General features: G+C 40.9%; 1 protein-coding gene across 15 annotated transcripts in view; it reads right to left on the bottom strand.

Annotated features, from left to right (window-relative positions):
* Positions 1–22132, bottom strand: part of LAMA3 (laminin subunit alpha 3) — a 265614-nt gene that overhangs the window by 26994 nt on the left and 216488 nt on the right. For 13 of the 15 annotated variants that reach the window (XM_011525978.3, XM_011525980.3, XM_011525979.3 and 10 more), the window contains 10 exons: positions 20407–20523; positions 20138–20317; positions 18778–18920; positions 15192–15362; positions 13512–13663; positions 13213–13375; positions 12651–12784; positions 11378–11522; positions 7019–7138; positions 6488–6621 (listed from right to left, as the gene is read on the bottom strand). In XM_011525978.3, the coding sequence (XP_011524280.1) occupies positions 6488–6621; positions 7019–7138; positions 11378–11522; positions 12651–12784; positions 13213–13375; positions 13512–13663; positions 15192–15362; positions 18778–18920; positions 20138–20317; positions 20407–20523 (1459 nt within the window). The remainder of the gene's footprint in view (positions 1–6487; positions 6622–7018; positions 7139–11377; positions 11523–12650; positions 12785–13212; positions 13376–13511; positions 13664–15191; positions 15363–18777; positions 18921–20137; positions 20318–20406; positions 20524–22132) is intronic. The other 2 variants (XM_011525982.3, XM_047437506.1) reach the window with 1 other exon arrangement.

Genomic DNA, 22132 nt, shown 5'->3' with positions numbered 1-22132 from the left:
TGAAATCAGAGCTGAAACGCTGTGCTCTTTAGTACTTTTCACCCATAAATGAGTAGGTGTTTTATGTTTATCCTTTCCCATGGGATTCCCATAATGCTACTTATTTTATGATGCTGGGAGAACTGACTTCCTTTCTGTGTAAGTTTACATTCCCAGCTTTAAAAATGCAGACAACAATGTTAACAGAAGAATGGCCAGTGGCCGCAAAAGGTAAAGAGACAGAGAACATGCACAATATCTAGAACTGCCCGTCCCTCCCCGCTGGAGTCACGGCATTGCAGGTGGATAGGACATGTATTAATAAGTTAATAGATGATATATGATATACATATATATTAATAAAGTAATAAATCATTTGTAGGAACCAGGAGTGCTCTAGAAAACCTTTTGCTCTTTTTTTTCTGTTCACTGTTAAGTTAGCCACTGTAAAGTCAGAAGAAACAAAGTGTTACTTTTTGGTTCTATTCAATTATGAAAAACGTAGCTTGATTTAACCAATGCCAAGCTGAAACAATGGAACACATTGTCTGGGTTCATATGCTGCTGTATCTACCACCTCCTACCTGTGGGCAAAGGGTTATTGCCAGGATTTAAAAAATTAACGGGCCGGGTGGGGTGGCTCATGCCTGTAATCCCAGCACTTTGGGAGGCCAAGTCAGGTGGATCACTTGAGGTCAGGTGTTCGAGATCAGGCTGGTCAACATTGTGAAAACTTAACTCTACTAAAAATACAAAAATTAGCTGGACGTGGTGGCAGGCACCTGTAGTCCCAGCTACCCGGGAGCTGAGGTTGGAGAATCATCTGAACCCGGGAGGCGGAGGTTGCAGTGAGCTGAGATCGTGCCACTGTACTCCAGCCTGGCAACAAAGCGAGACTCTGCCTCAAAAAACAAAAACAAAACCAAAAAAACAAGTTAACGTACAGCAAGAGCTTGCAGCAGTGCATGGCACCTGGACGTGAATGCTCAGCAGGTGTTTCTGAGAGGCAAAATTGTGCTGCTCTGGACCAGCCAAATTGCCTGGGTTCAAGTTCTGTCCCTTCTGATTGAACAGGCAACTTTTCTCCGTGCCTGTTTCCTCATTTAGACAATGGGAATATGTGAATCTGTTTCATAGGGCTGTCATAGTCTAAGAAAGTTAATATGTGTAACACACTCAAACAGTGTTTTGTACAGAGTAAGGACTCAATGTGAGATCGTCAAGTTAGTAACTACTCCCATATTACTGCTCTTATATAATGAGAGCAATTTCTAAAGCAGCTCTTTCTACATGGCCCCAGGGCATTTCCCCTTCGATTTGACTTCTGGATCTGTCTGGAGCTGAATGCACATAAAGCATTCACACACATGAACTAACTGAAGTCCAGGCAAATATTTGTGTTTCTTAAACAAATGATGTACTAAGAAAACCCAAAGCTGATTTCATTCTAAATCCCTAATGCAGCTTACTTTTCTAAATGGAAAGGTGTCTGCATTCATTTTAATCCAATTCATTAGAAACAGTTGAGCTACCTGTAATAGACCTAAAATTAAATTTCATTAAAAGGAAAAGAAAGAAACAAATCCTCACTGGCATTACAGTATAAGCCTAATTATTTTATAAAGATGGCCTTTTGCCTCAGAAGAGGAGGAGGGTTCATTTCCATTCCTGGAGCTTGCCTATTTATACATGGTTTTAGGTCAATTCTTCTTTGGGTTTCAACATATCTCTTGGACAACGACATTCCAGATGTCCCTCTCTCCATAGATTATTGGTCAAAGAAAGAAGGTTGCAGAAAAGGAAAATAGTAGGAGAGAAAGGCAGTTAACAGATACAGACCACCTATTTTGCACGAAGCTCTATGAATCCAACTTACAATAAGCTTTTGAGGGAGGTATTTTCTCTTTTATATTATTTTATTTTATTTTAAGTTCTAGGATACATGTGCAGGAAGGGCAGGTTTTCTTATCTAACATTTATTGAGCACTGACCATGTGCTGACCTCTGCTAATTCCTTTACACACTCTGAATCTTCCAACCACCCTAAGAGATAGGCAGCTACTATGCCCATACTATAGATGTAGCAATGAGGCATTAAGAGGTTAAGGCCTTGCCTAAGGTCACACAGCTGGTAAGTGGTAGAGCTGGGGTCTGTACTGTCAGTGTGTCACACAGGTTAGTGAGGCTTGAAGCCCTTGCTTTTTACACTTACAGTTGGTATTCCTGCAGCACTTGGAAGTGATCATGCCTTTTTCTAGAAGAGTTACCTACAGCAGAAGTGTTAAAATGGAAGAGATTTACTTCCACTATTCCTGGGGGGATTCTTGTTACCTTGGCTTACCTGAGGACCTACAGTTCTACATTTACTCCAGGATACAGGGTCTGAACATACTTGCTAGAGGAATGTGATTGCACTGGGGCATGAGTTGTTGTGTTGGTGGGTTCCTGCGTTGGGGTATTTATGTATACTTTGGGCCAATCTGTCCACAAAAGCTTAGCCAGCTCCATGGCTGTTGCAGGCCGACTTCAGAGAGCAAAAAGAACAAAAGGCAGCCCTAATCTTGGTGTTGGGTACTTAGTCGATGTTCAATAGATCTACTTTTTGGATCATTTTCATTTTAGTGTGTATAATCACACTCTGTAAACAATGGTGTAGGTCCTCAAGAAAAATGCCCTTGTTGGTGTCACACCCTCTGGCATTACCAGGGATGATTTGCTCTTCTCCTGGGTAGGAGATGGGATTAACAGAATGATTTCTGATTATAATCGGAAACAAGCCATTCCAAGATCTGGGTCCCCATTCCCAGAAGAAACACTACAGTGAGAGGGGGAAGAAACAAAACGTGCACAAAATCCCTTGAGCAAAGCTGATTTAGTGATTACACTTGCTTGCCTTGCTCCAGGTTAGGTTTGAGAACTTTGTCTAAAAGGTCCCTCCATTTATGCCAGGGACCAGAACACCTCCCTGCTCTGGAAGCGTTGGCTGGTTGCCCCTACAGAGCTTGGCTGTGGATTATCCATGGAACTCCTCTGTGCCCACCCCACCTCCCAGTGACTCATGCCCAATGGCAGTTTCAGGAATCTCTGGGCCACCAAAGACTTCACCACAGGGATGAGGCAACACCCAGAACAGCTGACTATTCCTTAGAATTTTGCTTTAGAGGGAGTGAAGGGCCAGTGAAATCTTTTGACTGGCCTCTATCTCCTGCATTTTCCATGTTCCAGTGATTTTAATAAAAAGTCAAAATATAGGCTGTGCATGGTGGCTTATGCCTGTAATCCTAACACTTTGGGAGGCAGAGGCAGGTGGATCACCTGAGGTCAGGAGTTCGAGACCAGCCAGACCAACATGGCAAAACCCCGTCTCTACTAAAAACACAAAATTAGCCGGGCATGGTGGCAGGCACTGTAATCCCAGCTACTCGGGAGGCTGAGGCAGGAGAATTGCTTGAACCCGGGAGGTGGAGGTTGCAGTAAGCCGAGATTATGCCATTGCATTCCAGCCTGGGCAACAAGAGCAACACCTCGTCTCAAAAAAAAAAAAAAAAAAGAAAAAAAAAGGTCAAAGTATAAAACTTGCCCAGAAAAAGGAAGCAGTCCCTTGTTTGGAGGATCCCAAAATAAGTTACTAAGAAAATTCTAGGCCAGGCATGGTGGCTCATGCCTGTAATCACAGCATTTTGGGAGGCCAAGGTGGGTGGACTACCTGAGCTCAGGAGTTCAAGACCAGCCTGGACAACATGGGGAACCCCGTCTCTGCTAAAAATACAAAAAATTAGCCAGGCATGGTGACACATGCCTGTAATCCCAGCTACTCAGGAGGCCAAGGTAGGAGAATCACTTGAGCCCAGGAGGCAGAGGTTGCAATGAGCCAAGATGGCGCCACTGAACTCCAGCCTGGGTGACAGAGCAAGACTCTTGTCTCAAAAAAAGAAAGAAAATTCTGGACTGGGCACAGTGGCTCACGCCTGTAACCCCAGAATTCTGGGGGTGGGAGGATCACTTGAGGCTAGAAGTTCGAGACCAGCCTGGGCAACACAGCAAGACCCCATCTCTACAAAAAATTGTTTTAAAAAAGCAAATTCTCTATGTATATGCATCTCTATATCTATATATTTCTTTAATGGATGGAGATGAAAAGGCAAATAAAGGTTGAGTGCTGAATTAACCTAAAGTTTTGCTGAGCCAAAACTAAAGCCACCTCTTTTGTGGTTCTACCTACTGCTCTTTTCTAGAAAACCTGGACTGACTGGCATCCACATCACTGTCTAGGGGCCTTGTGTTAATATCATGCAAACACAAACCACCACCAATGGGTTCCTTATTGCCTCAACTTGAGAATTCCTCCTGGCTCTGGGTAAGCCCACTGGCCTCTACCACCTCAATGACTACCTGGCCCTGAGCTTCATTTACCCTTCTCCAGACTGGCCTCCTTTCTGGAGGCCCAGGCCATTTTGTGCGCCTGCTTGTGGGCCTCTCCACCTGGCTGTGTCTCAGGCTCCTGGACTAAGCCTGTCTCAGACTTAACTTCTCACCCCACTCCTCCGTTGGTGTGTTCCATCTGCCAAGGGCTTAGCCAAAAACCAGGCATCATTCTTGACTGCTTTTCCCCTTTATTCCCCAACCCAAGCCATTGTGCAGTGCTGCCCATTCACCATCCTAAATATATTTGGAATCTGATCCCTGTTGCTCACCTGCATAACCACTCCTTGGGCCAGGTCACCCTCATCACTCACCTCTGTTAATATACTCGGCCTCCAGCCACTCTACCTGCCTCTGCCCTTTTCTTCTCTAATCCAGTCTCTGCCCTGCACTAGAGTGAGCTACTGAAAACCCAAATTTGGTCATGGCCTTTCTCTGCTGAAGTCCCTCCAATGGCTCCTTACTGTGACTTTCAAGGTACTCTGTGGTCAGGCCCCTGCTGCCCACATCAGCCCCATGGGGCATCCCTATCCCACTTCCTGCTGTACTCTAGCTCTTTGCAAGTTCATGCTTTCTCTATCCAGCTTTGGTGCTTCACATACACTGACTGCTAGCATCTCTCAGGTCCCAGCTGGAGGTCACTTTCCTGATGGCCCCAGTTGGATTAGGTTCCCTCCTGGGCTCTGTCAGCACCCTGAGCTTCCTCCTATGGCACACGTCATGTTCTCCTGTAGTGACTGTCTCTCTTCTGTTCTTCTCCAGGCTCCACCCTGCTCATTGTTGCCTTCTTGGCACCTGTCACTCTGCCTGATGCCCATTAGGCACTCAATAAATCCTGTGTAATGAATGAATAAGTGGCAACTCTCAAACATACTCAAAAGTACTCGAAAAAACTACCTTAAACGATTTTATTTTATTCCATTTCATGGAAATAAAATCAATCTTACTGACAATTCATAACTGGCTATTCATGGCTGAATTGCTATTTGATATTGATAATATTAAATATTAATATAATCTCACTGGCTCTGAATTTCTTCATTTGTAAAACTCAGGGGCTACATACCATGATCTGCAAGGCTCCTTCCAGAGCCCAGGGAGTAAAGATGTCACCCCCAGGTTCTGTTGAAGTGCCCAGCTTTCCCATTTGCATTTTTGCCTTTGGAGGCAACCCTGACAACTTTAAAACAAAGATTAGTACCTGACTACGTAGAATGGACAGACGCCCACATGTATAAGGACTCTAGAAGAAAGAATACCTTGGCATGACACCTTATAAATCATATTCTAGTTCCTTCCAACTGATGTATAAGTTAGCAAAAGAGTTAACTAGCTTCAGATCTCATATAAAAGTCATCATAACCTAACCTTCTGGGAGCACTCTTACTTAGTCATGAGGCTGCACTAATCCTTCCAGGATATGTTCTGTCCACACACTATCGTCAGCTATCTAAAAGCCTTCCGGGAGGATACAAATGATCAAAATGTAAAAGTTATTTTTACGTGCATTCCAAAATGGTGGGATTTTTCCCATTCAGATAAAGCTTTACTGCCTTTCACATTAATTAATTCATGTGTTCACTCATCCAAGAAACAGTTACGTAACAATTCCACGCTCGATAGCATGTAAGGAGCAGCTGATGCCGAAGTGAAGGAGACATACTGTTTCACATTCTTCCAGAGGCTCCCTGAAGGTGGCAACCTCAGCTTTCAGTTCCCCAGGGATGTCTGTCAGGCCTTGGGAGGCCCACGCTCTCCTATGCAGCCTTCAAGGGCCCAGGGCCACAGCCTCTGTTCTACTTGCTGCCAGCATTGTTAACCCAACTATACCCTTCGTGGTCCCTCCCCTCCCGAGAATGACAATGGCGGTGACACACATTCCCCCACCCTCCTTCTTTCCACTGCCCAGTCTCATTATTCGGGATTTAAATCTGTTTTATTCTGTTGACTATACTGTTAATATGGAAAAGTTAACTTTTTGTGTTTGTTTGTTGGTGGAATTAAAAATGGCAGACCAGATTTTTTTTGGTCACAATCATAACCACTAACAAAGGCTTTAAATCTCGTTTTAAAAAAATCATCTTACCTTTCCCTGATTGCAATTGGAATTCCTCCCAGATAATATGTGCTGAAATCAAATACTTCACCATCAATTATAGTGTTTTGAACGTCCACATTTATCCACATACGCTTTTGGAGTTTTCCAATTTTGATCTGAATCTGAAATAAATGAGAGATGAATCAGCAAGCCAGCGAAAATAAGAGAATCCTATTCACAGGGGTTCAGAACTATCATGTTTTTATTTATCTTCCCCCAGATTCATTTATATACATAGTAGGAAGGCTCTGAGCAGTAGCATTTTTGGATAAAAATATGATACTAAAACATTTTGATAGAAATGTTTGTATTTGAAGTTAACCGTGTTTTATAGATATCATGTATATGTTATACATTTCATGCCGAAATGTGCAAATTTTAAAAGGATATATCCCTCAGTTAACATCCATAAGTTTATCTGGTAATAGGAAGTTTTATTTATTTATTTGGGGGCACTGACTTAATTTTAAAGGACTAAGGACATTTAACGATTCAAGTAAACAGACTCAAAAGGTGTACCGAATGGTCTCTGCCGTTGTTTATGGCGTCTCCAACTCCTCTCTCTTTTGGTAGCTCTGAATTCAGTTTGTATCTCACCATGAGCTTGCCATCTTCTATATTTAGAGATATGAAGCGATCCTAGGACAGAGGAACAATGCAGATGACCAGAAGGCTTGGCTGAAGAAGAGGCAGAGCACTGGAACTCCCGTTACTCTCACAGACCCCCCTGCTCTCAGCTTCAGCTGCTGCCTCAGTGAAAAGGGATAATGGTGCTGCAACAGCAACCTCACGGGATGGGATGATGGTTCAATACTGTAAGTCACGTTAAATGTCACGCACAGTGGTTGGCCCACAGGACAGACACAATAAATGCTAGCTATGATCATGATTTTGTTTCATGCGATCCATAACTGGTGTATAAAGATGGAGACCGAAAAGATACAGATCATTAATATTATTTGAAAATATGAGTGCCTTTTAGAGAGAGGCGAGGTCTTATGCAGACCTCAGATACCTTCCACCATCTGTTTTCTGACTGATTCTTATGTCTCTGTCTCATTTGTTGGTTTATCCCCTTCTACCTTCCATGTCAGTGTTGGGGGTTCCTCGGGGATCCTACACAGGACTCCTTCCTCCCCACACCACTCCCTTTGCCTTGACAATCACAGGCTCTCCTGTAGCTCCAATCCAGGTGTACTGATGGGCCCCAAATTGTTCTCCCCAGCCTAGACCTGTCTTCAGGGCCAAGTCTGCACACGTGATTCCCTTGTTGTTATTGCTTTGCTTGCATGACTCACAGAGACCTCAAATTCAGAATATCTCACACAGAACGTATGACCTACATGCCTCCTACAGGCTGCCAAGCCTGCCTCTTCTTCCATTATACCAGGTGCATGCGCTCCCTGACTCCCAGCCTGCCCCCTGCATGCACGTGTGCAGGGCACACACATACATCACCATGCTTACCTTTCCCTTATTGCTGAGCAAGCCACAAACCTAGGAGTCATTTTTTTTCTTTCTCATCCCTTTATCATAACCTAGGAATCATTCTTGATCCTTCCTTCTCTCCCATCCAACATAATCTTGTAAATTCTGCCATTCTTAGCTCTCTCTTTATGTCATCCCACCTAGTCTCAGCCACAACATTTTTAGCCAGTCCCTGCAGCAACAACCCGCCGGTCTCCCCATGTACCCCCGAAAGTCCATTCCCCCCTACAGCCAGAGCAGTCTTTGAAAATGCCAGTGGGAGCCTGTGACTCTCCTCGGCTGTCAGGATGAAGCCCTGACCCCTACCAGATGCTGCGTGGCATCTGCCTCTCTCTCAGCACTGCCTCTGGCTCTCCAGCCCCGCAGCCACTGTTCCACTGAGTGCTCCCTGCCCTTCCCACCTCCAGGCCTTCTTCATGCCTCTCCCTCTGCCTGGATCCCCCGTCTTGCCTGTCCCCATGTCCTGTTCAAATGCTGTCCTCCTGATCTCAGAGGAAGCATTTCCTTTGCTCAAGTGTCTTTTATGTTGTACATCCTCATTTCACCCCCAAACTTTTCCTTGATACAGCTCTTCACAGTTGTGATGAAATAAACAACCTATTAACAGCATTCCTTTGCATATTCTTCCCCTCTAGATTATAAAATCCCGGAGGGCGGGAGCCATATCTGTCTTTGTCATTATTGCATCTCCATTACGGTGTGAAACATATACTTGAATCAGCTACTTCCCTAAGATAAGCTGAGCAATTTCTGACTTAGGGCTTGAAGGCTTTGCTTTTACACAGTTCCTTAATGATAAGAATGCCTCTCTTTGAGGTCCAGGGACCGAGTTCTTTTCTAAGAGGAAAATCAGTCCTTATCTGGATCCTAAACCTTGCCTTTGGGAGTCAGCTTAGGTTGATCAAACCATAAACAACAGAGTTACACCAATTTACTGAGAGTCATGAGCCATCCTACTTAAAGCAGATCTCTAGGTCATTTCTTATGTAATGGTATTATGTTAAGTTTTCTTATTATATGAGTAGTATTTCTGGTTCTTAGTCTCCAAGAACTTCAAATTATATACAAAGAAGACCTTGTTTTGTAAAACAACTGCCGTGTCCTGAAGATGCTGGATGACTTCTCTGCTCTATGTATCCTTCAGGCTGGCTGGGACCTTCCCAAACCATCAGAACTGGTCCAGCCTTGGAATCTCCTGAAGGGTCCAGACCAACCCCAGAGAGGAGAGTTGGACCGGGTCAGTGTCACCACCCTGCGGTAGAAGACTCTGGTAAAATCCCAAGCTCCTTATCAATCCCATGTTCTCGGACCACCAGAAAGCCTTTGGGCTCATCCACATTTCTTCAGAAATACTCCGTGAGAGCAACTACAGAAGCTCCTATTCACCGGAGGGTTCAACTCCAGGCCGGCTATAGGTATAAAGCAGCAAACATCACGCCAACTCTCCATCAACCAGCAGATGGCGCTGACGATCACTTGTAGAGTGTCACTTTGGACTTTTCTAACCTAATAGATTTTAGAGGGTCCCTAGGAATCTCAGCTACTTGAAAACAGAGAAGCTTCAGTGTCTTGAGAAGGCAAACATGCTGATAAAGACACAATCCCACACAGCCTGGTAAGAATCAGATCAAGACAGAAACAGCAGGAAGTCAGTCTAGATCTTAGAGATCCCAGGAAGTTTTCACATGTTTTGGGTCAGAATAAGTAGATTCTTAGGCAAGCAGTGGTTCTCAAATAACAAAACTGATAATGAGAATAGAACAGGAAAAGGGGAGATTTCTCCCACATTTTGGGGGGCATGTTCTCAAATTCCTGATTATTTGCCCTCATTAAAATAGACATCAATGGAACAGAATAGAGAGCCCAGAGATAAAGCCACACGCCTACAACCATCTGATCTTCGACAAAGTCAACAAAAACAAGCAATGGGGAAAGGACTCCCTATTCAATAAGTGATGCTGGGATAACTGGCTAGTCATATGCACAAGACTGAAACTGGACCCCTTCCTTTCACCATATGCAAAAATCAACTCAAGACTAATTAAAAACTTAAATGTAAAACCTAAAACTATAAAAAAAAACCCTTGAAGAAAACCTATTCTAGACATAGAAATGCCTAGAAATACCATTATAGAAATAGGCCTTTGCAAAGATTTCATGATAAAGACCCCAAAAGCAATTGCAACAAAAACAAAAATTGACAAATAGAACCTAATTAAAGAGCTTCTGCACAATGAAAGAAACTATCAACAGAGTAAACTATCAACAGAGTAAACAGACAACCCACAGAATGGAAGAAAATATTTACAAACTATGCATGTGAAAAAGGTCTAATATCCAGAATCTATCAGAACTTAAATAATTAACAAGCAAAAACCAAACAACCCCATTAAAAATGGACAAAGGACACAGACTTTTCAGAAGACATATATGCTGCCAGCAAGCATATGAAAAAATGCTCAATATCACTAATGATTAGAGAAATGCAAATCAAAACAATGAGATACCATCTCATACTGGTCAAAAAGGGAATTATGAAAAAGTCAAAAAATAATAGATGCTGGTGAGGTTGAAAGTGGAAAAAAGGGAATGATTGTACACTGCTGGCGGGAATGTAAATTAGTTCAATCACTGTGGAAAGCAGTTTGTCTATTTCTCAAATAACTTAAAACTACCATTTGATCCAGCAATCCCATTATTGGGTATACACCCAAAGGAATATAAATCGTTCTACCATAAAGACAAATGCACGCCAATGTTCCTTGCATCACTATTCACAACGGCAAAGACATGGAGTCAACCTAAATGCCCATAAATGGTAAACTGGATAAAGAAAATGAGGTACATATACACCATGGAATACTACACAGCCATAAAAAAGAACGAGATCATGTCCTTTGCAGCAACATGGATGAAGCTGGAGGCCATAATCCTAAACAAACGAACGTAGGAACAGAAAACCAAATACCACACGTTCTCACTTATAAGTGAGAGTTAAACATTGAGTACACATGGACGCAAAGAAGGGAACAACAGACCCTGGGGCCTACTTGAGGGTGGAAGTATTTTTAAGGACAGAAAAAATTACCTATTGAGTACTACATTTATTACCTGGGTGATAAAATAATCTGTGCACCAAACCCCTGTGACATGCGATTTACCTATATAACAAACCTGCACCTGCACCCCTGAAACTAAAAATGTTAAAAAAAAAAAAAAAGTACATTTCCCAGCCAACAGAAAGTACAACTGGGTGGAGGAAAAGGATGCAGGTAACATTTACACATTGTTTTCCAGATCTAGTGGGTCATTTATAACAACCCAGTTATCTCCAAATTGCTAAACAGAATGAATATATTTGGTTGTATCTGGATGCTTGTTATAGATTACCCCGTTTTCTGCAAAGAACAGCAAGCCTCTATCCACGGTGGTCTGAATTGTCTGTCCAAAGGTTGGGATGGGAGCATGTGGTTGAGTTGGAACTCGAGCATAGCCCGTACCTTCAAAATAATTTTTGTCTGACTCTTCCTTCCTCCTGTCAACATTAATCATCATAAATTAGAACACAGCAGCAAATGATCACCATGCCAGTGTGCTTATTAATACAAGATGTTGCTATCTGAAAAATGGAGCCAAGAAAATGCAATCTAGTTGTCATAATTTTGTTAAAGCAGAGGAGACATCTTTAAAATGTTAAGGCAGCCAGCTCTTTCTCCTGGATGTGCTCTCATACTCTGACAATCAAACCCTAGCTCGACAAAGATGAGTAAGATACCCTTTTGGAAATGTCTGCTTAGGAAGATGTGGTCTGCCAGCTGAAGATTTTGAAATGTAAGAGATTATTAACTTGCAATGTAATTTTATTCTGAATAATAAATATTTGGTCCACCTCATATTAGAATATACCATGTCCTTGTAATTGTAGGGAAGGTTAGGAGTTCAAGGCAGCAATTTTCAAAAAGATTGAGGTGGAAGAGTACCAAAAAAGTCATGGCACATTTTATGAACCACTTTTTCTTTTCTTTTCTTTTCTTTTTCTTTTTCTTTTCTTTTCTTTTTTTTTTTTTTTTTTTTTTTTTGGAGATGGAGTCTCACTCTGTCGCCCAGGCTGGAGTGCAGTGGCATGATCTTGGCTCATTGCAACCTTGACCTCCCGAGTTCAAGCGATTCCTGTGCCTCAGCCTTCCAAGAGGCTGGGACTACAGGCACACACCATCACACTCGGCTGATTTTTGTATTTTTAATAGAGATGGGGTTTCGCCATGTTGGCCAGGCTGGTCTCAAACTCCTGGCCCCAGGTGATCTGCCCACCTCAACCTCCCAAAGTGCTGGGATTACAGGCATGAGCCACTAAATCAGGCCTCTAGATCAGGTACCATCTAATATTAAATATTTTGTGGTAGGAGGCACAAAAATTTTCATAAAGACTTTTTTCAAGTGAGAAAACTATCTAGCATTTCATACAAATTAAGAAGAGACTACCATAATTAGATTTTAGGGCAGGACTGCCAGTGTTGCATGCACACATACTTGAAGAACTACTGGCCCAAAGCAACTAGCAACATCAATAGCATCTCACTGGCCCATCCTTTATCATATGTAAAAGTACTGCAAGTTACCAAAACTCCAGTTACAGAGTTTCTGGTTTCTACATTTTATTTACCTTCTACAAGGCTCCACTTCAGTTGTGTTGAGATTGAATGTTTTTTTGAAGTTGTACAAGCTCAGAACATTTTCATTGAGGTCATCTAATTCAATACAACCTTTGTATGGAGGGAAACTTAGTCGACTGGGAAGCTGAAAATGAAATAAAACATCTTCCACCAATTGAACAAAGGACAATAATCAAAATAGTATCAATTAATCACTTTTAACAGTCACTATGGCATAAGGGTTAATTAAGAATGTGAACCCTGGAACAAGATGCCCTGGCTTTGCTATTTACTAGCTGTATGACTGTGGGCAAGTTATTACACCTCGCTGTCTCTGTTTCCTCATCTGTAAAATGGGAATGATCATGATGCTTATTTAAATTAACATACTAAAGCTTAGAACAGTGCACAGAGGAAGCACTCAATAAGTGTTAGCTAGTATCTCTAGAATGTGCTGTAAGAATGTGCGGTTAAATCCATTTTATATGTAATTAACAATTAGAGACATGAGGTCATCACCATACCAAATTAAAATTTTAATATTTAATTCAGTGAAATAACATTTACACTTACTTTAAAATCAGGTGGGTAACCTCCAACATAAAATACAACATTTTCAGGATCCAAATTAAGGAGTGTATTGCTATTTCTACCATCCATGTCATAGACTCCGGGTGTTTCTGGTTTACTGGATGTGGCTCCTTTGGTGTAATTAAGCCTTGCAAACTGATAAATTCTGTTTAAAATGAATTTAGATAATAAAGTTAAACAAAAAATTTGAAGAATTCAAAGCCAAGCCACTAAAAATGGGGTTCAGCAACATGTATACATGGAAGTTTGGTGAGCACAGGTACAGTCAATCAGACTTGTACCTCTGAAATTTCACCCGATCCATAACTGCCTCCTTAGTCTCACTCTTGGTCAAGATCTGGTCCACTTGGAGTTCAGCCTCACGGTCCCCCAGGTTGTAGACACAGGTGAGCTGGCCATCCACAACTGCCATGCCGATGTAGTCCCGGGAGGCCTGGAGACAAAGGGCCACCTCAGAACACTTCACATTGTGGTTTCTCAAATTCCCATCCCAAGAGGATGAGGATGCATTTCAAATAACTAATGGGTTTTAGGCAATAAGCCTTGGAGAGACAGAATAAACAAGGTGCAATATTTTATAGAATAATATAGAATGCAGAATTAATAATGTGAGAGCTGTCTCTGCTCATGTTATAGGGCACTCATTTATTCATTCCTCCATTCACTCAATCTACAAATATGTGCCAAGCACCTACCATACAGAGGGCCCAGGTATAGACTCAGCCGTCCAACAGATTTTAGTCTGGTAAGGGAGATAAGCCATTTTGCTTCTCCCAGTACCACACAACATCCTCTTAACACTTTGTGCATGCCTCTGTTGTCACACCTCTATGTTATCATGGTTAGTTATATATGCATCTTTCTTCCCTGCTAGAATGTGAGCGCCTTAAGGTAGAAACAAAATGTTTTAAAATCACGGCATAATATCCATAAAACTTACCATTTTAACCATTTTAAGTGTGCATTGGCATTAAGTACATTCGAGAATAAATTTTTGTTTATCACAAAGCCAGAATGTGACACATAGTAGGTATATGGTATAAATTTGCTGAAGGAATAAAGTAATGTGCATTTTACCACAAAACAAAGCAAAAAATCATGACATAACAAGCTACAAATAAAATGCCAACCTCTTGAAGCATGGAAGAGTAATTAGCAATAGTGTTGATTTTAAGAATCTTTAAATACAAGATCCACTAGTGACAACTAACAATTTCCTAATTGGGCAGAATTTTTGAGAACCATATTTCAAGCATTTTTCTTCCAACAACTGAATCCTAACCCAGTGAGTGATTAGCTTTTCCTCTGACACTTATGTCAAAGAAATGTATTTTAAAAGGAGGGATTAAAAGCTAAAGCCAGCCATTCAAAATGCCTGTATGGGTAGTGAATTTACACTGATAGTAGTAGTAGTGATGAATTTACACTGATAAAGAGACAGGGCAACTGCTTTTCTTATCATTTAGGCAGGAGAGGGAGGATTCATTCCACTCCAGTCCTCACCCATAATCTCTCCATCCCACAGGCTTGAGGAAGGATCTGAGGCTGGGCAGTCTGAGGAAGAGGACAAGGTCACAATTCTGTGAGGAGGAGCTACTCCTCCTTGGTATTGATCCCTGGTGGTGTGGTGTCAATCATACAACTTGGTAGTATGGAGGGGTGCCAATCATCCTCCCCAAGTGCATATGTTTTTTACATGTACACACACATGCCCACGTGCTGGGCCCATTGGGTAAAGCCTCTTGATCCTCTAGCAACCAACAATGCATGGGAGGCCCCTCGAGGGCACTGCCACAGTGGGGAGGTGGGCAGGGAGGAAGCTGGAGGGATTTGTCGATGTCTCAGTAGGATTTCTGCCTGCTGTGCTAATGGCAGTGATGCAGCCGTGCCACACATCTCAAAAGCACACCTCTCGAAAAACATTGTTTCAAAAACAAGAGAGATGTCCAAGCAATACTTACATCTTTATTTCCAAGGTACATCACAAACATATTCTCAGTACCCCCATTTTCTCTTGAGTTGGGCCTTTGGAGAAACAAGGACAGAGATGTATATCCTTTCAAATCTTCCAGGTCATTTGGCAGTCGGACTTCGACTCCAGATTTACCATTGAACCTCATGGGGACAGCAACCTGTGAGGAGTAAGTTACATGGTGTCAAACACTGTCCTGTGAAGAAAGTAGGTGTGCTCAGAGAGCTAGTTTGTGACTCGTAGCCATGTATCAGCCTTTCCTGAGTTGTTATGATAAGGAGCAAGGGAATGTGAATGTCTCTAAGCCCTGGATCATAATCTCCAAGACCCAGATTATAAACTCATGAAGCTGTTTCCGGAGCTGTGTCATAAGGCATTTGTGTTTCTTATTAGTCAGGGATATTTGAGCAGTGCATTTAGTCCTCTGTGCTAGCAATAATAATAATGATAATGACAATAATATGAATTACAACCCTAGAAGGTTTTTGTGCAGATGAACTAACATCTATGGAGGCACTTGGCATGGTGCCTGGCATACAATCAGACATGTAATACATTAAAACTATATTTTAAGCCAGGTGCAGTAGCTCACACCTGTAATCTCAGCACTTTGGGAGGCTGAGGTGGGAGGATCACTTGAGCTCAGGAGTTCCAGGCTGCAGCATGCCATGATCATGCCACTGGACTCCAGCCTAGGGAGCAAAGTGAGACTTTGTCTCAAAAAAAAAAAACTATATATATCTATATGTTTTTATATAGATATATATTTTTAAATATATGCATTTATATATTAAATATATAAAATATATTTTTATAAGTATATATTAATATACAATTTATATATAATTATGTATTATATATATTTATATATAAATATACATTTTAATATATTAAATATATAATAAATGCATAAATTATATGTTATATAATATATAATTTTATATATTATATTAAAATGCATATATAATTATATGTACATTGTATGTAATATATAATTTTATTTAATATATAAAAGCAGATATAATTATATAACACTATATATGCATAAAATATATGATTATAATATATAATTAAATATATATGCATATATTAAATTTATACTTATATATTAAAATATTTTAAATGCACTTTTAAAGGAACTGCTTCTGTTGGATATATTACATGTTACAGTTTTATTTATTATAGGTGTTCAGTCCTGAAAAATAAGTGAGTACATCAAGGCTCTCTAAAATAGCGCTTCTTGAGCTCTCTGTGGTGAAGGACCATTTTTTCCTTCTAATATGCCAGGGACAAATACTTTTGTAAAACATATTCAAATTTAAATCACTACAAAAATAAAAAAAACAAAGTAGACAAAATACAAGCCCACCGATCACATGCTTGCATGTTGAGGCAATTCAAATTGTTCAAAGCTTCCAAACATTTACTCTAAACTTTATAACTATATATAATAGACCACTGACAAAAGTTCTCTGACTAGGCCTGGTGTGTGGACCAAGAAGATAAATATTTCCTAACGATCGAATACAAAAGAATGAGATTTAACTCAAGTCTGCATTTTCTCTATCAATATTTAAATATTTATCAAGGATCTTGTATATGCAAGGCATTAAATCAGGGGACTTAGCGATGGGGTCCCACATTTGCAGGCTCATTTCACGCCTCTCTCTCCTACTCACCCCCTGCCCTTCAGAACCTTCTCTGAGTCTCTGCCTGGCATTCTCTCCTGCTTTTTGTCACCTGGCAAATTCCTACTCTTCCTTTAAATTTTTTAAATTAAGATATTTCTTGTATTTAAGGAAAGGGAGGGAGAAGAATATGCCTGTATGTGCATCACCATGAAATGGAACATGACTGACAGAACTGGCACCCGTTCCCCTCTCCCTTCTCAGAGGTCACCACTACTCTGGATCTGGATTCCCATGCAAATTCCCATGCATTTTTTCATAATCTTTCAAAACTAAATATGCATTTATCTGTAAACTGTAATTAGTCCTATTTTTCATGTTTTAAATATTTTTATATAAATGGTGTCCACCTGTACACATTTATCTACAACTTGCTTTCTTTTCTGGGCACTACGTGTTTGGATTTATTCATGTTGATACACACAGCTCCAGCTCATTCAGGTTTGCTATTGTAAATGTGGCTTTTTTTAAAAAAAATCTTTGTGTGTGATTATAAACTATGTTGCAATGAACATTCTTATCCATGTCTGTTAATGCTACTTATTAGTGCTATTCTGACCCTCTCCAGGTAGAACTGGGGGTTTTGAAGATACACATAACACACCTCTATCCAGCTTGTTACCACAGTCTAAGAAACAACCTGCAGTGGCTGGAGAGCAGCCTGAGTTCAGAACTATGACTTAATAATTTCTGTGTCCTCAGCACCCAAAGAAGTGCCAATGCCAACCAGGCATTCAAAAGCACTTACTTACTGCTTTTTATTTTATGTTTTTCCACTAACACGGTACCTACTATTTGCCAGGCACTGTTCCACATTAGCTCATTTAACCCTAACAATCTCATGAGGTTGGTACTTTCTATGCTCTATAGACCAAGAAACTGAGGCACAGAGAGGTAAAGAGACAGGGCTCAGGTCTCACAGCTCACCAAAGGCAGAGCAAGAATTGAAACCAAGACAGTCTGGCTTGGTTAAACAGCTGTTAACCACTGTGCTATAATACACTTCAAATTTTTGTTGGATAAATTAGTGAATGAACACAGAAGGGTAAAAGCTAGCATACATTCTTATTCATTTGGTTTTTATAAAGCATGTATGAGTGTGAAGAGGGTGCGTTCTTCCAAACTTTGCCTTATGCTCTTTGTTTTCCTGTTCAAGTTTTTATGTTGGGAATACTTTGCTTTCTTAGAAGAAAGGGCAGATTCTGAGGCTCAAAAGAAGTAACAGTGAGCCTGGTTATTGGGCACGATGCCTCCAGGGCAATGATATTCTGACTAGGCTCTCCAACCCTCTCCCTCCAAAACTCTCCTGTAGGGCTGTCTAGGAGTTATTGGAAAATATAAGAAATTGTATTTATGCCATTTTAGGACAAAACAAATCTCAAGAGACAAGTGTCAGTAATTCAAGCAAATAATGTCAGGTTAAAACAAGAAAGGCTGGTGAATCAGTACTCCAATGATGGAAAACTGCTGTCATCTTAAATCCTCCATCCTCAGCAAAGATGGATTCTACAACTTTCAAGTTACAATAGGAGGGTAGGTCCTGTGCAGTATCACACTGGCACATTCTGACCACAGAACCCTCCCTTGAATGTGCAATTACAGTTTACAAACTGGGGCCTGGAAGAAAATCCTTCTTTCTGCCTGAATAAACTCAATGGGGGCAAATTGCTTCAGGATCCTGATATACCAGATAATGTAAGGATGAAGGTCATGTACACTTGTAAAGGATGACAGGAGAAAATCAATCTTTATATTCAAGCAACACAAGAATTGGGGAAAGAAAGACAACCAATTCTTGAGTAAATAAGTGTTTTTTTCTTTCTTGATAAATGTGATAACTCATTAAAGAACTAGCCTTGGCCACTGACCACGTGGGGACACACTCACCTTACTGGCAGCATCTCTGGCCTGCTGAATTAGTTCTCGTATTCTGTCCATGTTGTCAGAGATGTTTCCCAAGGGCAACAGCTGTTGGTTGATACTTTCAATCTTGCGCCAAAGATCAGGTAGTTTGTTGGTTAACTTATTCACTGTTGGTGAGAAAAAAAATAGAAATGTAAGATTGTGCATTAAGAAAAGGCTAACTACAAATGTTCTTACTGACAGTATTTGTCAAGTGGCATGTTTGGTCCCCAGATGTTGAACAGGATGGGTCATAATTAGTTACGGTAGTTCCCCCCTTACCCATGGTTTCACTTCCCAAGGTTTCAAGTACTTGCTATCAACCATGGTCCAAAAATATTAAAAAAGAAAAATTCCAGAAATAAGCAATTCATAAGTTTTGAATTGGGTGCTGTTTGGAATAGCATGACGAAATCTCATATGGTCCCACCCATGTGAATCTTCCTTTTTTCCAGCATATCCTTGCTGTCTACCCTACCCACCCATTAGTCACTTAGTAGCTGTCTGGGTTATCAGATCGAAAAAACATAGTATATATAGGGTTTGGTACTATCTGTGGGTTCACACACCCAGTAGGGGTCTTGGAACATATCCCCTGAGGATAAGGAGGAACTACTGTACATGGTGAATTGTATTCTGCAATCTAGGTACCAAATCCTTTACTTTGACCACTACAGAAAGAAAAAAAAAAACCTTTGTTTTCTGATTCTTTTTCTTTCTTTCTTTCCTTTTTTTTTTTTTTTTTTTGTTTGAGATGGAGTCTCGCTCTGTCGTCCAGGCTGGAGTGCAGTGGTGCAATTTCAGCTCACTGCAACCTCCACCTCCCAGGATCACGCCATTCTCCTGCCTCAGCCTCCCGAGTAGCTGGGACTACAGGCGCCCATCACCACGCCTGGCTAATTTTTTGTATTTTTAGTAGAGACAGGATTTCACCATGTTAGCCAGGATGGTCTCGATCTCCTGACCTCGTGATCCACCCACCTCGGCCTCCCAAAGTGCTGGGATTACAGGCATGAGCCACAGCGCACAGAAAACACAGCCTGTTTTCTGATTCTTAATATCAATCATAATTCAATGCCTCATGATTTAGAAACATATATCTCCACTTTGTAAAAAAGCAAACCAATAGCATTTTCAATGTATTTTCTAAAAATTAAAAATCCTGTCTGGTCCTTCCAACTAGCAGGATATCTATACGCTTTGAATATATCCTGTATCAGGTGGAGCTGTTTTCTAATGTTTTAGTTTCTGAGATCAGACTTTACCAGGGAAGAATGGAAATGGACCAAAACACATAACAATGGAGAGAATGGCTAAGATGTCCTGGCCAGAGATCGCCTGATACCCGAGTTATCTGCATCAGTCAGAGCCTTTTTGAAGTCTTCGTTCTGTGTCCTCCCATAGGTGTCCTTAATTCTTTCCACATCTGTCTGGATGGGGTTGAGCCCATCCAGAACCTCATCTGTGATGTCGTTGGCCTTTCTGACCATGCTCTTTGCACTACTGATCATAGCATCAATATCACCTAATGCACACACAGATAGGGAGGTATAAGTATCTAAAACGTTCAACAAAAGAAGCCAACCGAGTACAATGGATTAGGAAGATGCTGACCTCTCTGTATCCCATGAAGACCATCTCGGAGAGTTGTGAGATTGGTGTCTATCACTTCTTTCTGAACTGTCACAATATTCAGGGTTTGCTGTAGGTTGTTGAGAGCTGGACTGACTTCTAAAATAAAATAAAGCATCAGGAGGCAATTACTTTGTGCATTTTGATCCTCCATTGGTATTTGTGGCCCCTGAAGTAGCCAGTGTCTGCACAGCATTGAGTAGACTTGCTTCTTAGGGGTCACCTCAGAGATGCCCACTGCATGTGCCCAGACCCACAGCTCTGGGATCCTCCAGTTACAGAGGTCAGCAGCAAATCAGAGCCTTGTGGTAATGCCTTGGAAATACACAGGAAGAAAGAAAGAGGCTGAATAACTTGGGGAAGGCTAAACTTCTTAACTGCTCAGAGTAAGAGACTCTGTTTAGTAAAAGATGCATCTGTCTTATCCACTACCATGTCCTACCACATAATGTAGTGTCTGGCACTAGTTGAGGCGTAATATTAGTATATGTTTGTTGAGTAAATGAATACATGAGTGAATGAATGAATTAATAATGTAGAAAGGATCCTCTTCCATCAGAGGACAAGAAAAGAGTGTTGTTGAAAGAGCCTCATCCAGGCAAATACAGACACAAAGTAGGCACTGTTTGTTTCTGTTAATTTCCAAAATGACACATTTTAAAAATTCTGTGAAAGAAAGGGAGCTAGCAGACATTCCTAGCTGATAATATTGCCATCCTTGGGTCATCAAAAATGACCAGCAAATGCTTTAAGACCATCTTGATGATTCATGGCTTCAATTACGATTCCAGGACTGGTTTACATAGCAACATAGTTAGCATCCTAACCCTGTTTAGCACACTGAGCCTACCTCGAAGCTCAAATTTTGTAGAGAGAAATAGATGTCATACCAGGAAATCCAAATTATTGAAATTTGCAAGGCAAATGATTGTATGTTAGTACTTTTTTGGTATTTTATTTTTCATGTCTTTAATTTTTTAACATGTGAAGGAAAGAGAGAAAGAAAGAAGGAAGGAAAAGAAGGAAGCAGAAAGGAGAGAAATTATTTAATTTACAGAGGCATCATTTAATCCCTCTGAAAGGACTAAGAGGCTGAATGAGGGCCTTGGACTCATGGATGACAACAAGAGCCTGGAGAAACACAAGAAACAGCATTTTTCAAACACAGAAATTTGGTGAGATTGAGAGAGTTTAATTATTTAAAAAAATAAGTAAGTAAAATACATGAAAATTTTCCAGAGATAAAATTTATGCTTAAAAAATTCTCATGCTTCACAGTAGCAGTGATTTTGGGGACTTTTAGTTGCAAAGATTTTAGGACTTAAGAAATTTTAAAGCAGTTATTCTAATGATCCCAAACCAATGATCTTGACATGTGGGGTTGCCAATGCCATGATCACAGGTGGGTTAAATTAAAATAGCCTCCCCACCAAGGCCAGGCCCAAATAGGCCTATCACTCTCAAGATTTATTTATATTTATAAGGCTCTAGTTAATTTTGTACATGATAGGTGGGGAATATTTAGAATATTGGGTGGATACATGAAATTGATAAATAAATCATGAATTTAAAAAGTATTATCTGGGCCCGGCATGGTGGCTCATGCTTGTAATCCCACCATTTTGGGAAGCTGAGACAGGAGGATCCCGTAAGGACAGGAATTTGAGCCCAGCCTGGGAAACATAGCAAGACCTTGCCTCTAAAAAAA

This window comes from Homo sapiens, chromosome 18, assembly GCF_000001405.40.
Source record: "Homo sapiens chromosome 18, GRCh38.p14 Primary Assembly".
NCBI lineage: Eukaryota > Metazoa > Chordata > Mammalia > Primates > Hominidae > Homo > Homo sapiens.
The sequence above is the reverse complement of the archived record's forward strand: the minus strand, read 5'-3'. Positions and strand labels throughout refer to the sequence as shown.